The sequence below is a fragment of the Homo sapiens genome, chromosome 14 (assembly GCF_000001405.40).
Source record: "Homo sapiens chromosome 14, GRCh38.p14 Primary Assembly".
NCBI lineage: Eukaryota > Metazoa > Chordata > Mammalia > Primates > Hominidae > Homo > Homo sapiens.
This window is the reverse complement of record NC_000014.9, coordinates 85,095,473-85,112,805: the sequence shown is the minus strand read 5'-3', so window position 1 is coordinate 85,112,805 and position 17,333 is coordinate 85,095,473.

Below are 17,333 nucleotides of genomic sequence, written 5' to 3'. Positions count from 1 at the left end.
CTCTGCCTAGAATTAAGATGTAGGGAAACACCTGGATGTCCAGGCAGAAGTTCGTTGCAGTGATGGGGCCTTCATGGAGAACCTCTGCTAGGAGAGTGCAGAAGGGAAATGTGGGGTGCAAGTCCCCACACTGAGTCCCCACTGGAGCACTGCGTAGTGCAGCTATGAGTAGAGGGCCACCATCCTCCAGATCTCAGAACAGTAGATCCACTGACTGCCTGCACTGTGCACCTAGGAAAGCTACAGACACTTAACACCAGCCCGTGAAAGCAGCTAGGAGGGAGGGTGTACCCTGCAAAGCCACAGAGGCAGAGCTGGCCAAGACCATGAGAACCCACCTCTTGCATCAGCGTGACCTGGATGTGAGACACGGAGTCGAAGGAGATCATTTTGGAGCTTTAAGTTTTGACAGCCCTGCTGGATTTCACACTTGCATGGGGCCTTTAGCCCCTTTGTTTTGGCCAATTTCTCCCATTTGGAATGGGTATATTTATCCAATACCTGTACCACCATTGTACCTAGGAAGTAATTAGGTGCTTTTGATTTTACAGGCAGATAGGTAGAAGGAACTTGCCTTGTCTCAGATGAGACTTTGGACTGTGGACTTTTGGGTTAATGCTGAAATGAGTTAAGACTTTGGGGGACTGTTGGGAAGGCATGATTGATTTTGAAATGTGAGACATGAGATTTGGGAGAGACCAGGGGCGAAATGATATGGCTTGTCTGTGTCTCCACCCAAATCTCTTCTTGAATTGTAGCTCCAATAATTCCCATGTGGGTGGGAGAAACCCAATGGGAGATAGGTGAATCATGGGGGCAGGTCCTACATACTGTTCTCATAGTAGTGAGCAAGTCTCATGAGATCTGATGGTTTTATAAGGGGAAAGCCCTTTCACTTGGCTCTCATTCTCTCTCTTGCTTGCCACCAATGTTAAGGTCTGCCTTTCACCTTCCGCCATGATTGTGAGGCCTCCCCAGCCACGTGGAACTATGAGTCCATTAAGCCTCTTTTTCCTGATGAATTACCCAGCCTCAGGTATGTATTTATCAGCAGCATGAAAAAAGACTAATACAGAGAAGATCCATGACCACTACTCTCAGTTTGTGAACCTCCATCAACTCAGCAGACCATCAAAGCCTCATCTACTTCAATGGCAAACAATGTGTATCTCATGTTGAACAGGATGGAAGCCTGCTTCATTAAGGAAAGCACTACATTAGGATCTGGTTTGTGCTGTAGGAGCTTATGTAGAGCCTCAAAATGGAAACACACTGAACTCAGCCATGGAAAGCCTTGTGGAACAGGCTTTGTATCAGTTGAAGACAAGTGATAAGAGAAGACTAATGTTTCTACTCATGTACAAAGGTACTTTGATGTTGATACTGCTTATGTACAGGTTGATGCCATGGCAGGAAAGCAAAGATTTTGACCTTTGCTGCCCAATATGGCAACCACTAGCCACATATGTCCACTGAACACCTGAAATGTGATTAGTACAACATATTAAAAAGGTAAGTACATCAGATATACTGGGTTAAATACAATACATGATTGCAATTTATTTTACCTATTTCTTTTCACTTTTTAAACTGTGGTTTCTAGTGAATTTAAAATTGCACTTGTGATTCACAGTATATCTCTAGGGAACAGGGATGCTCTAAATTATAAAGTATGTGTATGCAACTGTGGCATTTGCTAAGTTAGAAGTTTAAGCCATCACTGGAGAATTGAGCCTGCCACATAAAATATTTTCCAAATTTTGAGTGTAAAAAGGGGACTATTAGAAACTATGCCAGAACAATAGGCATAAATTAGGATCTGGGGTTCCATTCTGTTCCACATAAGATAAAAATTTTGACATTCTAATTTTTCAGACAGTCCCTAGCAATCTGGGGCATTTGCTTCCTGTCCATAAGTCAGGCTTACAATAAATGTTAACTTTCCAAACCAAGAGAACTAATTAACAACAGTGTATGATCAATTCTATTTTTTTCACCATTGTAAACTTAGCACACTGCTGAATGAATATTTGTTAACTGAATGAGTGATTGAATGGACACAATTACTTCATTTTCCAGGCATTTGATGATGTGAGTTTGTATTGTTATGTTCTCATTATTTTTGCATTTAAAACATGTTACTCAAGGGTTTACTTCATTTTTAAAATTATTATGTGACTTAATATAGTGTTTTTTTTAAACAACAGGTCTTTCTAAAATGTTTATCTTCAGTTTAATTTTTTGTTTTGCATTTTATTTCTAAGCCTAACAAGTAATAGCAATTACTTGGAAAAAATCGAAACCTTACTAATTAGTAAATATGGTGATTCTTATGTGCTTTTAAATGTTTTAATATTGGGTATGAAATTAACATGATAATGTCAAGGCTGAATTAATTTTTTAACTAAAATCACAAGGCTGTGTTTGAACTCTCACAGGTGAAATTCTCTTGAATATTATACATACTTAAATTATCCAGTATGCAAGTTCCTTTACTTTTTCATCATCTTAGCAATTTCTATACTTGTTTCTAAATCTTCCCAGGCCTGAAAGTTACTTACTGTTAGGGAAATTATTATGTCATTTTAAAGGATTTTGAGGAATACCTTTTCAAACTGATTTTGTAATGATGGAGATATCAGCTGGGTTGCTGACGGACTTCTTTCAACCAGCATTGATAGGACACATTGGCCTTATGAAGAGTCAATGCAGTGGATCCTTTTGTGCCAAAGGGTGTTGATATCATTGTCCTCATAGTTGTGTAGTTCACTCTTAGGATTGGTTACAAAATTGCGAAACCCAGTCCAAAATAAAAATATAGGACCTCTTTTCAAAACTTCTTAAAAATGTCAAGACCATGACAGCAGGACGTTATGTTATTTTATGTATGTATGTATGTATGTAGTATGTATGTATGTACGTATGTATGTATGTATGTATGTATGTATGTATTTTGAGATGGGGTCTTACACCCAGGCCTGAGTGTAGTGGCACTATATCAACTCCCTGCAACCTCCACCTCCCAGGCTCAAGCGATCCTCCCTCCTCACCCTCCCAAGTAGCTGAGACCACAAGCACATGCCACCACGCCTGGCTAAACTTTTGTATTTTTGGTAGAGATGGAGTTTTGCCATGTTCCCCAGGCTGGTCTTGAGCTCCTGAGCTCAAGCAGTCAACCTGCCTCGTCATCCCAAAGTTTTGGGATTACAGGTGTGAGCCATGGTGCCTAGCCAACAGCAGAACTTTAAATCAACGCAATGCCCTACCAAGTATGGGGCACTGCCCTACTAAACAAGGGATCTTGTGTACGTGCATAGGTTGCAGGCCCTGTTCGTGTTCTTGTCCAGATTAAAATTCTGCAGCCAACATGTTAGCGCTTGATTAAGTTTCATATGTAATTGGCTCCTAAGTGACTCAAGTGTATTTTCACTGATCTCTAAAATCCTTTGATTATGAGAGAATATTGATTTTGTTTTGTTTGCTTGGGTAACATTTTCTCTGGTCAACCACACATAATTTCCAACTATAAAGCTATCTAACTGTTATGTGTTTTTCATATTTTTTTCCTCACTATATGGTCACAGTTTTAATGCCATTCTTTTCAGGGGACTGACATTTCTCATTGTTTCAGGCTGTCATTGTGGCAAAAGCTCTGAAGAGTCTGAGAAATGGTTGACCTAGTCCTAGCTTTAATGGCCTCTTTTCTTCACCTCCTTCCCTTATTGTCTCTGTTCTTTTCTTGTTTTCCTTGATGCCTTTCTGCAAATGTGCATTGAATATACCCTACCTTACAAGTACCATGCAAGGTACTAAAGGGAAATTCTTACTTTTGAGAGCTGATTCAAATATTTAGTACAAGAAATTTTAAGGCTATTCCTTTACATTTTAACTATAACATTTATAAAAGTTCTCATAAAAAAAACACCTTTTCAATCCCCCAAAGTGGAATTTAGAATACATTCTATTCTCTCTTGATGAGTCAAACTTAATACAAAAACTTAGGCATGAAAAATATTTAAAAACTTAAGTAAATATTTTAATGCTACCTCCTATATTTGCAAAACTAGTTTTGGGAGAAATGGGCTATCCTTTTTTAAAGAATGGAGTTGGATACTGTGGTATCTCTCAAGTCCAGGGAAAGAATAGAATCTCATGGTTGGAAAGAAGAAATGATAGAAGAGAATCATGAGTGTCTTACTGATAGTCTGCAGCAATTTGTGGAACTTTGCAACAGTCACATCAGCTAAGGAGACAGACAGTCACTTTACAAATCCCAAGACAGTAAACTAGGGTCAAATCAAATTCTCCAGAGCAGGAGTCTTCAAGCAATCTTACAGGGCTGATAGGTGGTATCTGACCTAACTGGAGATTGTCTGCTTAAATACTTTGATGTGCATCAGGAAAAGGACTATCTTCCCAGGCAAAAATAATGCAAAGCTGTAAGCCAGACACATTCTTCCATTCCAAATACAGCACTGGGACCTACAGTATCATCAGATATTAGAATCACCTAGCTTTCACTGAAAAGCTTTAATTTCAAGTGGCCAAAGAAAGAAATTCTCATTTCAATGTGATATTTGTTAGGAGAGACCTAAGCCCTATCCTAAGTTGATTTTACAGGGATTTTTCCAGAGAACTTTTATTTTCTAAACACATTTTGTGTACACATGTTATGTGATTTGGACATTGAACTTAAAACCAAGTAATGGAATTAGATCTGTTTGCCTGTCATTGTTATGTTTATTATTATTTATATGAAGATGAACTATTGGCATTAATTTTTTTTTTCTTTGAAACAGAGTCTCACTCTGTCACCTAGGCTGTAGTGCAGTGGCACAATCTCGGCTCACTGCAACCTCTCTCTCCTGGATTCATGCGATTCTCCTGCCTCAGCCTCCCTAGTAGCTGCGATTACAGATATGTGCCACCAAACCCTACTAATTTTTGTATTTTTAGTGGAGACAGAGTTTTGCCATGTTGATCAGGCTGGTCTCGAACTCCTGACCTCATGTGATCCGCTGCCTTGGCCTCTCAAAGTGCTGGGATTACAGGCTTGAGTCACCGCACCTGGCCAGTATTGATTTTTTTAACTTTCAAATCCTACTACAATAGGATAACATCAGGCAAGTTTATGCAGCCTATCTAGCTTAATTCCTAATTCTTCTTAGTAATTAGTGAATAACTATTGTCACATGCATAATTATACAGAGATAAAGGGCTTGTTATACTACACGAGGAGGTGAAGTAAATTGACAATCTCTATTCTTTATGTATAATCTTAATCCTCACTGGATTTTTTTATTTTGCTATTAAACTGAGAATACACCTATAATTACTTAAAGAACAGTTAATTAAATTAAAAACAAAACTAACATAATGATTACTTTTTAAAAGTCAATTTTAAAAATTGGACTCAAGCATCTCCAATGCTTTACCATTCTCACATTTAACTTGTGACAGAATTACTACCAGATGACTTATGGTATCAGGTGTTTTCTTCAGTAGAATCTCATCCTAGCACTGCTGTGATTTAAGGGATGGGATCAGATTTGATCTACAAGATCATTTTAGTAACTCAGTAACCTAGAATAATGCACAAATTCATATGCAAAGTGTTGGTGGGAAATGGCGATGAGAGTTGTTGTAGTTATATGTGTTTACCAATATTTTGTCCCATATAGTCCCATTGATCTGCTCTCACATTGTTTTTAAAACATGAAATAATTTGGATTATTAGCTAAATAATGTAATTAATCATACTGTTCTGTATCATCCTGTAAGGTTGGAAGTATAATTTATCGTCTCTTTCACTAATTTGAAATTAAATATTTTTTTCTAACTCATATTTATGTTAAAAACCAATTTAGGGAAGACATGGTGCTTTTCAAATATGTCATCAGGCTGTATCATGGTAAGTTGAGTCCACCTGTCACAGCTTGTCTGGAATACAATTGGGTGAGATCTTGTAGCAAGAATGAAATTCATCTTGTCGCCATTGGAGAAGTCTATCAAAGTCTCCATTTGTTTCACTATATCCTCGTCTGTTCAAATCCACTTAAATCTAAAATTTTCTAATTCCAAGGAATGACATGATGACAGGAAACAGCTGGTAAAAGGCCCCAAGATGCCTTATGCTCTTTCATGTAATTACAGGCAGTTTTCTAAGAATATTCAAAGGGATTACTTACAATTATAGTTCATTATGATATCATAGATTTTCCTCCCAGAGTGGATAGTCAAAATTTATAACATTCTTATTGTAGAGACATTAATACCAAGTTTTTCTGCAGAAACAAATTACAAAAAATGTCTAAAGCAGCATAAATGTAACTCTTAGACTCATTTTTTCATGTATTCAGTAAAAAATTACTATAAAGCTGAGATTGCATGTATGAAAATTGAAAAACTCAGAGCCAACCACCATAACACACACCCAATCAGTCAAAAGTATTTTTCTTTTCTACAAATGGCCTTGCATGTTATATATTACCTCCTGTGATTTTTACATCATCCATATAAGGTGGCACTGATTGATACTTTATTTGATAAAACTCAAACACAGACTTTTAAAGTTAGTTTCCCATGGTAACAGATATAGTCAGTAGAAATGAAGCCAGATTTTCTCAAATGAAATTCAATTTCTTATTTTCTTGTCTTTAATAAGGAATAGAAAAATAACATTTTTAAAAAAGTCATCTTTGTGGTAATAGAATGCCCTTTAGTGCTCTGCATGGAGTGGCTTAGTAGGTGTTTCTACTGATTGGATTTTGTAAGTAATTTTATTAAAATGTAGTCTTATTGTTATCTTTAGAAACCATGACAACCTTATATAAAATTCAATGAAGAAGAAAAGACATATCATCTTATCTTAATTCAATTTTACCTAAGACTAGATGTAGATGGACCAAATAGAATATACCTTTGCCTAATTGTTGTTAAGTATTTCATACTCTAATAAGATTCAGTGTTGCTTTTTGAAGGCAACACTATATCTTCTATTGATATACAAGTTGCATTTTGTAGTATCATAAACTCATTGAGCATTGACTGTCATTAAATTGATATATGTAGCATCTTGAGAAAAGATAGAAATGTATTATGCTTCAGTACAATGTTCAATATTTGGGTGACAAGTATTCTAGAAGCTTAGTCCCCATTATCATGTAATACACCCGTGTAACAAATATGCATATGTACCCCTGAATCTAATAGTTAAAAAAATTAAATTTTGAGCTACCAAAAGGAATGAATTATGTATACCTGAATTAAGAAAAAAAATCACATAAAAAACAAATGGTGAGATTGTTTAATGCTTAAATTTTATCAATCACATTAGAAGAGAACATTGTGGTAATATGAGAAATAGCTCTCAATCAAAGGCATTTGGTTCAAAGTGACAAAGTGACTCCAAGTAGGTTATGCTAAAAAGGGAGAAACTATTAGAATGCACGGAGCTTGTCTTATACAATCATAGGTCAGGAAATATATACTGTCATTTTCGAAAAGGCAAAATTCCTGACTATCATCATCTTTTTATATTTGCTGGCTTTCCCTTATTGATGGCCAATTTTTCTCTGCTTCTCTGTAGCCATGACTACAAAAGAGCCACTGATATTAAGCAACCAGAAAAGCACAACTGGCATTTCTGATTCTCATTTTAAAAGTACTTGAAGAAATAATATTATTGGACAAATTTAGTAGTGTTTTCTTTTCCCCATTATCTAACAGGAAATTTCAGAATTGCATGTAAAGAACATGATGAATGACCAGGTGGTGTTCCCATGGTACAGGGCAAAGGGAAGATTTCCAAAGGTATGGAATAGGCAGACATCTTCCAAAGTATCTATCATTACATAGTATTCTCCAAATTGCAAAATTACTCTGGGTCAATTGTTTCTCCTATTTTCAAGGAAAGTTTTTTTTTTCTCAAACTCAAATTTAATGCCACCCTAAAGAGAAAGTGTTTCATTTCTGATTTTTTGTTTCATTTATTTGTTTATTTAGTACCTTTCACTTGAGAATACTAATCCGTACTACATTTTTAAAAGTCAGTCAGCTTTTGGCTCATTTAGTAAAAAATAATATTTTAGTGCACATGCAAGGAATTATAGAGATTTTTTTGAAAGATTCAGGCAAGGATTTTTGGTCCTCCAAATATTTGTTCATTCTAAGTGATGTTCTCTTATAAGTATACTAGACATGATTGATTCAGTGCTCGCTATCGTCATTTACACCCTGTGGATGGTAGGTCAATTGCACTGCAGACAGCTAGTTAGCTCTCCAATATTCAATCTTCCCTTCATCTTGAGGAACAGGATTTGATATTGTTGGAGGTGCCAATGAGTCTGCCTGAAATATTGCTTTCTGTGCCTTCTTTGCAGATAGGGATGGCCAATGATATAGGAGCACAAGTTGGGGGTGGTATTTCTGGGAAGACTCTTTTATAAGAGGCCTCGCTGAGGCTGCCATTCTGGCCACGCCTAACTAACTTGATTCTGAACTTGCCCTCTCACTACCCAAGACTATGAAACTCACTACCCCAAACAGCATTAAAAAATGTGTCCGGCAGGCAGCTCTTATAAAATATTGGACAATAGGGCAAGGAGGCCTGTAATTTTTGAGAGAGAAGACAAAGGAAGTGATTGCTGCATTTTCCCAAGATCTCTGAATGGGGACACCTATTTTTTTTTTTTATTTTTTTATTTTTTGATGGAGTTTTGCTCTGCTGCCCAGCCTGGAGTGCAGCGGCATGATCTCGGCCCACTGCAACCTCTGCCTCGTGGGTTCGAGCAATTATCTGCCTCAGCCTCACAAGTAGCTGGGATTACAGGCGCCTGCCACCATGCCTGGCTAATTTTTGTATTTTTCAGTAGAGACGGGGTTTTACTGTTTTGGCCAGGCTGGTCTTGAACTCCTGACCTCGTGATCCACCAGCCTTGGCCTCTCAAAATGCTGGGATTACAGGTGTGAGCAACTGCGCCCAGCCATGGGGACACTTTTTTACTGTGGTGCAGAGAGTTGGAGCTCAAGTAGCAATGTAGTGTCCCTGACTTGAGGAGGCAGAGACGGAAATTTCAGCCTCATGTAGTGCTCAATGTGGGGGGCCAGGATATTAGAAAGGAGAGAGATACAGAGAGGAGAGGGCCTCCATGTCTTTATGGAAGTTCAATGAAGGTCCATGCCCCAGGTCTTGGTCTTACATCTACAAAGCCTAACAGAGAATAGGATCTATGGAATTGTGAGCAGATAAGAGATATTAGAGATAGCATAGGACTGAGAGGTTTTAGAATTCTGGCCCACCAGGGTCCAGAGGGCTTGCTGAGACCTTGGACATTCAAAGAGGACATGCATTTGAATTAAGAAACATTGTCTAGAGCCATGCCCTGGAATTAAGAACAAAACCAAGATGGGACAGACCAGCTTTACAGAATAAACCAGGCTTGACAGGACTAAAGGTGCCCTATAGTAATTTAACTGCCTGTGAAGAATAAACGAACAAACAAAAACAAAAACAAAGCCTTTCAAAGACTATCACCACAATCCCAACTCCCTACAAACATATTATCCATAATGTTCAGTACAAAATAAAAAAGTTCTAAACCTATGAAGAAGCAGGAAAATGTGCCCCATAATGACAAAATAAAAAAAAATTGAGGATACAGAAAATAATTAAGACAAAATTTATTTTTTAAATGGTTAGTATAATTACTAAACCCCAGCAAGACAGATAAATGAGAAAGAGAGAACAAATTACCAGCACTCTGAATGAAAGATGTTGTTACAGATTCTACAGACATTAAAATGGCAATAAGGAACTATGAACAACTTTATGGCAATCAACTCAACAACATAGGTGAAATGAATACAATTCTTGAAGATTAAAACCTACTCAAATTGATAAAGACAAAAATAAACAGTCTAAATATGCTTATAATTAATATACATAATTATATATTAAATAATATATAATTATACTTATATATTAATTATATAATATAATTAATAATTAAATATACTTGTAATTATTAAATACATTTAATTTGTAATTAAAAGCCTTCCAGCAAAATCCTCCAGGCTAATGGCTTCAGTGATAAATTTTAGCAAACATTTAAGGAAAAATAATACCAATCTTAAACACACTTGATATGGTTTGGCTCTGTGTCCCCACCCAAATCTCATGTTGAATTGTAATCCCATAATTTCCACGTGTTGTGGGAGGGACCTGGTGGGAGATAACTTGAATCATGGGAATGGTTTCCCCCATACTGTTCTTGTGGTAGTGAATAAGTTTCACGAGATCTGATGATTTTATCAGGCGTTTCTGCTTTTGCATCTTCCTCATTTTCTCTTGCCACTACTATGTAAGAAGTGCCTTTTGCCTCCCACCATGATTCTGATGCCTCCCCAGCCATGTGGAACTGTAAGTCCAATTAAACCTCTTTTCCTTCCCAGTCTCAGGTATGCCTTTATCACCAGCATGAAAACGGACTAATACAACACTCTTTAAGGAAATTAAGGCAGAAAAATATATTTCCAGCATTTCAACAAAACTACAAAACCAATATCCTTCATGAATATCCACACATTTGACAAAATATATACACAATTTCCCTACATGGAAAAACTACACATACTGCTGAGAGAAATTGTAAAAGCTTTAAAAAAACTGAGATATGTGCTATATTAGTAGAGTGGAAAATTTAATATTGTTAAGAGGTCAGCACCTCCCAAAATGATATCCAGATTCAGCTAAATCTCAATAAAATTCCAGCAGGCTTTTTTTAAAAAATAGAACTTGACAAATTAATTTCAAAATAGAGAAATGCAAAGAGCCTAAAATTTTGATAGAAATCCTAGAATAATTTTATGACTTCGTGATGAGCAAAGATTGCTTAAGAGAAACATACTAGCCTTAAAAAATTAACTTGAGGCTGGGCGCGGTAGCTCATGCCTGTAATCCCAGCACTTTTGGAGGCCGAGGCGGGTGGATCACGAGGTTAGGAGATTGAGACCAGCCTGGCTAACACGGTGAAACCCTGTCTCTACTAAAAATACAAAAACAAAATTAGCCAGGCATAGTGGCAGGTGCCTGTAGTCCCAGCTACTCAGGAGGCTGAGGCGGAAGAATGGCATGAACCCAGGAGGCAGAGGTTTCAGTGAGCCGAGACCGCGCCACTGCACTCAAGCCTGGGTGACAGAGCGAGACTCCGATTCAAAAAAAAAAAAAATTATTAAGTTGAACATTATCAAATTAAAAGTGAACAAATGAAACAAATTAAAAAATGAACAAATGAAACAAGGACTTGTGAAAATATTGGAAACACTCATATCTAAGACTTCTCTCTAGACTATGTAAATAGCTAAGACAAATCCATACATAAATATACAATTGCCCAATTAGTAAAAAATGGGGAAAAAACTAAAAAGCACCTCACAAAAAGTATATGGCTGTTTAATTTCACTCATCATTAGAGAAAGACAAATTTAAATCACAATGTGATACACCAGAATAAATAAAATTTTAAAGTTGCCAAACCGAAGGTTAGCAAGGATGTGGCACAACTGGAATATTGTGGTTGGGAACACAAAATAATGCTGCCACTTTGGAAAACTGGCAGTTTTTATAAAGTTAAACATGCTGTACTTAGCAATTTCACTCTTAGATATTTACCCAAATGTCCAGAAAAAGATGCGTTGATGAATGCTTGTAACACCTTTATTCATAATATCCCCAAATAGGAAATAACCCAAATATCTATTATTATAATAGATTAATAGATTAAGATTGTAATATGTTTATATAATGTAAAACTACTCAGTGACTTAAAAGCAATGTATTGATAATAAATGAGACCACATAAACAAATATCGAACACATTCGATATTGTATGATTTAATTTATATGAAGTTCAAAAAACAGATGAAATAAATTATAGCCTAAGAAGAAGAGTGTGGTCTATCTCATGTAAGGATTGATAGAGATCATGAGGGAACTTTCTGGAGTGAGAAAATAGTCTTTTTTTAATTGGAGATCATGGTTTCACACGTGTATGCATGTTTCAAAATTCATAAAATTGTACACTTGAAATCTATGCATTTCATTTCAAGTAATTTTTATGTCTAATTAAAAAGAAATTAAGTGGTAGGAACTTTATTTTCTATTTTGTCTCCACTTTCTCCTTCTTTCTTCTTGGAATGCACACTTTCCTGGGTTGCTGGAGGTCCAGCAGCTATCTTGGATCTTAAGGTAATGTTGGATATGTAAGCACTAAGGATAATTTAGTAGAAAAAGACGTAGAGTTTAGGCCTCTATTAGGCATGCCTTAATATTTTTATGAGAGTGGTTATTTCAAACATTTTTTAAATAAAAAAGTCTTGTTTATTATTTGGGTGTTTTCTTACAAGCAGCTGGACATATTCTTAACACTAGACAAAGAGAGAGGAAATAATATATACAGTTGACCTTTGAACAACACAGGTTTCAACAGTGTGGGTCCACTTCTGCATTAATATTCTTCCACCTCTGCTACTCTTGAGACAGCAAGACCAACTTCCCTCTTCCTCCTCCTTAGCCTCCTTCAATGTAAAGACAATGAGGATGAAGACCTTTATGGTGATCCACTCCACTTAATGAACAGTAAATATATTTTCTCTTTCTTATCATTTTTCTTAACAAAATTTTCCTTTCTCTAGCTTATTTTATTGTAAGAATACAGTATATATTACATATAGCACCCAAAATATGTGTTAACGGACTGTTTATGTTACCAGTAAGGCTTCAGGTCAATAGCTGGTTATTCGTAGTTAAGTTTAGGGAGAGTCAAAAGTTATATGCAAATTTTTGGCTGCTTGGGGAATCAATGCCCCGAAACTTTGTGTTGTTTGAGGACCAACATATATATATATATATACACACACACCCCCCACACACATATACATATATATGTATATATATATATATCAGGATCAACATATATATATCTGAGATAGGATATATACATGTATATATATAGAGAGAGAGATATATATACATCTCAAACATCAATCACACTATATCTATTTATAGACTGGACAAAAATATGCATGAGTTAATCTCATCTGTCCACCTCTATTTGGGCAAGAGTACATATCAAATGTTGCAGAATGGCAATCTTCTTAAACCATCAATAAACATAAAAATCCACACTCAGTTATGGGTTTTAATATCTTCCATTAGAATCGTTGAGATCTCACCTGCTGTAATTTAAGGTCATATTGGGAGGTGGGACATAGAGTTCTTGGTGGAAATACAGAACTCATATGAGTCCATATTTAGTATGAAAATTTTAAGTGGTATATCCATTCCATAGGAAAAGCACCAAGAAATATTCAAAGTATGTTTAATAAACATTTTTCCCTTCCATTCTCTTCTTTCTCTTTCCTTTCTTTCCCTTCCCCTCTATTTTCCTTTTTCATTCTCCTTTTCACTCCCTTTCCATTCTCTTGTCCTCCATCTTTCTCCTCTCTTCTCTTCTCCCTTCTCTTCTTCCTTAAGTTTCCTTTTTTATTCCTGTTTTGCCATAATGTCTATTTTACTGTAATACTAAATATTCTATTTTAAGTAGGTGATTTAACATAAATATTGAGAGCACATATAATTTAGCTATTCTGTGGGCTTGTATCCTGGTCCTCAAACAGTACAAGCCAGCGACCCCTGTATGTGGGGTTAGATTGCTGCAGAGGCCACCACTTGAATGTCCCTTAGCCTGCATAAGCAGCACAAGTTTAGGAAATATTATTTGATGTTTGGTCCAACATGCTGCTGCCTGCAATTATTTATATTGAACTCCATTTAAATAAAAGGAATAACCACTGTGAAGATGTCACTGTTTGCATTCAGGATCCATGGTGAATTGTATGAAGAATTGGCTGTTTGTGATTACAGATCAGTATTTAATACTTGATTACAAAGAAAAAGTTGCCCATAAATACTTCAGCCTTCATATTTTGTCACTCTTTTGTGTACATTTACTCATTGATTATTCTATCTATTTCTATTAAACACCCCCAAGGCCTTGGCTTGTGGCACAGAAGGTTCTTGAACTGTTTGAAATCCCTCACTGTGACTGGGTCTGACAGAGTAAAAGAAATGGAGGCAATAAATGCATGGCCTTCCCCTGGGGGTGATGGAAAGCCTGTTATAATAAATGGATACCATCTTTTTTTTCTCCCTCTCATGTTCACCTATAGTGTAAAAATAAAGCAAAAGTATTGTAGTGTGCTCCATGACAAATATGTAAAAAATTGAAGAATTAAACCTTATAAATAAATAATCTATTTGATCCACTGAGTAACTTCTTCTTAATGAGTCCTTAATTTTATTAGGACATTTCATTTAGAGATTTTAAATTAAATTGAGCTTGCTAGTCAAGTAGAACTTAGTTTAAAAAGATTTATTATTTTTTTCTTGTGCTAAAATTATCTTCATCACTTAATATCAGTAGCTATAAGAGATTACAAAAATAGAGAAAAATTCTTAAACATGTGAATAAGCAATAGAAATGTTTCAAATGGTGGCATGGAAGTTTCCATGAATACTTCAGAATTTCCCCATCAATTTAACCACAAATTTCACATCCATTTTTGAGGGATTTTTTAAAGGAGATTTAAATCAGTTAATGCAATGAATTTATGTATTCATTCACTAAGTATATTTGGAGTGCATACTATTATGCTAAAGTAACTATTAGAAAGAATATATTAAAACAAAAACGTGTGTGGGGAAATTATTAAAGCCATCTAAATGCTCTGAATGAATTCAACTCACTGAGTACATTCAAACGATAATCTATAGTGTGGGGAAAATTTGCAGATATAACTTTGTATCCTTACTGATTCTTTAGACATCATGGAAAACTAGAGGGGCATTAGTAAGCTAAAAAGATGCAAATATATTAGTGGTATTTGTGATACAGAAACTAGGTAGATGTAAAAATATGTGCCAGAGACCCTCATATTGATCTCTTGAGAGATATATAAAAGATATATATGTATATTCTTAAAAGACTAATTGTAAACACATAGTGAAGACAGTTATGGACATTAAGGACCAGCAGGAATTTACTGGGAGTAAAACAGTCCAAAATAAATTCATTTTTAAAAAATGTGTTGGAACAGTACAGCAAAGGAATTCTGTAGTTATAAGGTACCTCCTTTTATAAAGTCATTTACTAATTTTTACAAAATACTCCCATGGATGTGTAAAAGAAGACAGGTCTGCAGAAAAACAACTAGAGAAATGTATAGGTTTGCCTAGACATGCCAAATAGTGTAACTAGTCAATATCAATTGGAAGGGAAAGTTAATTATATCATAAGTCTCTTTCATCACCGAGTCCGAGCCCTACTTACAATTTTGTCGTTTACTTTGATGACGTTCATAAAACTGTATTGATGTCCTGAACATCAAAGTGAAAGGTAACATTGTGTGAAGATACTTACAATAATTTAAAGAAGATATTGCAGGCTATAAATCAGAATCACATATAATAAAAAGCCCTGCCGGAATCCTTCACAATAGCTCACAAAGTACAGAAGAGCCTGAAGAAGAACCTGAAGAAGGTGTGTGAAGTTGTTATTTGATGGCAAGCTCAACTTGAACCTTTGACATCATGCATACTAATGTTTAACATGGAACTAGAGTAAACTGATGTAATGCAGCTCATATGACAACGTGGCTAATAATCCCCATATTCTTTCTGTTAGTCAATGTATGCTGTAAATATTCAGTTCAATTTGATATCTAAACTTAATTGTATATTTTAAAAATTCAAGCACTATCATCTGACAAGATATGACAGGAATAGATGAAAGACAAAAGCCTACGTAATATAAAGAAAATTGAAAAAATTGGTATATTTGCCATAGAAAATGAGGGGGTTTAGAAGCGATACAAATGACAGTCTTTACTAATTCAAGTGCTGTAATATAAAATAAATTAGAATGTGTTTTATATATAGCATCAGTGGGGAGAAAAAAGTGAATGGGTATAAGAAATGCAGAATTATTGAATTAAATAATAATCACAACAAAAACAAGGACTTAAAGATGAATAGAGCTATGTAATAATTAGGTATATTGCTTCACATGCAAGAAAATTCTTGATATGTAATGGACTTATGCAAATTTATTTGTTTTATTATTCATTATTTAACTCCATATATTTCTAGCTCTTTTTCTACTAGGCACTGTGCTACATTGTGGAGATCCACATATTCACCTAATATTAATATCTATGTCTTCCCTTAAATATAGAAGCATTCATTTATTACTGTTTAACATTTATCCTAACCTTAGTGACTTAAAACAATGATAATAATTTATTATCTCTCATGGTTTGTGTGCGTCAGGAACTCAGCCAGAACACTGTAGGGATGCTTTTCTATATTCAACATTGTCTGGGGTTTCAGCTCGAGGATTGAAAGGCCAGGGGCTGGGCTCATATGAAGCCTTACTTAATTTACATGTTTGGCTGTTAGCTGAGACTTAAGTTGGCGCTATCTGGATTATCCACACATATTCTGTCTGTATGCCCTGGGCTTTCTTACAACAAGTAACTGTTGTGTAAGGAAAGCATCATAAGAAGGAGAGAGAATCTTGAAGTTCTACTTTTTAAATTACTTAGAATTGGATGAAATTACATAGCTTCATTTATTCCTTTTTTCATTGGTTGGAGCAGTTACAAACACTAGCTGAAATATTCCAGAGGAGGTTAGTTAAATTGTAATAAGAGTATGTGGAATGATATAAGTACTGTATACTATATCACAGTAGACCTTGAAAATTAATTTTTCAATATCTATTTTTCATTTTATAAAAATTACTCACTCATTAAAGATATATTTACCATGACTAACAATTATGTGTCAGTCTCTAAGTTGTGAAAATACAAAAATAAGTGAAAGCTAATTCTAATGAAGTTCCTCATTATGTAAAAGAATAAAAATATAGGTGAAAAATTAACTATAGTTTGATGTAATCACTGACATTTAAATGTGTTAATAAGGTAAAATAAAAATATAATGACAAAATAAAGATAGACATATAATAAGGTTTTACTAATGAGAACTTTCAGAACTAGTTTTACCAAATCATAACTTGTTCTCTGAAAACTATCTGCATCACCAAAAGGAATTCTGAGTGTGGTGGTAAAATATATTATGTGGGTTGAGCACTTGACACCCTGTTAATATTATGAGATTCTGCTCCTTTAGCCAACACTGATTGGAGCAGAGATAAACCTTGACTAAGAAAGAAGAATCAATGGGTTGGTCAGTTGTGGATAAGATCGTCTCT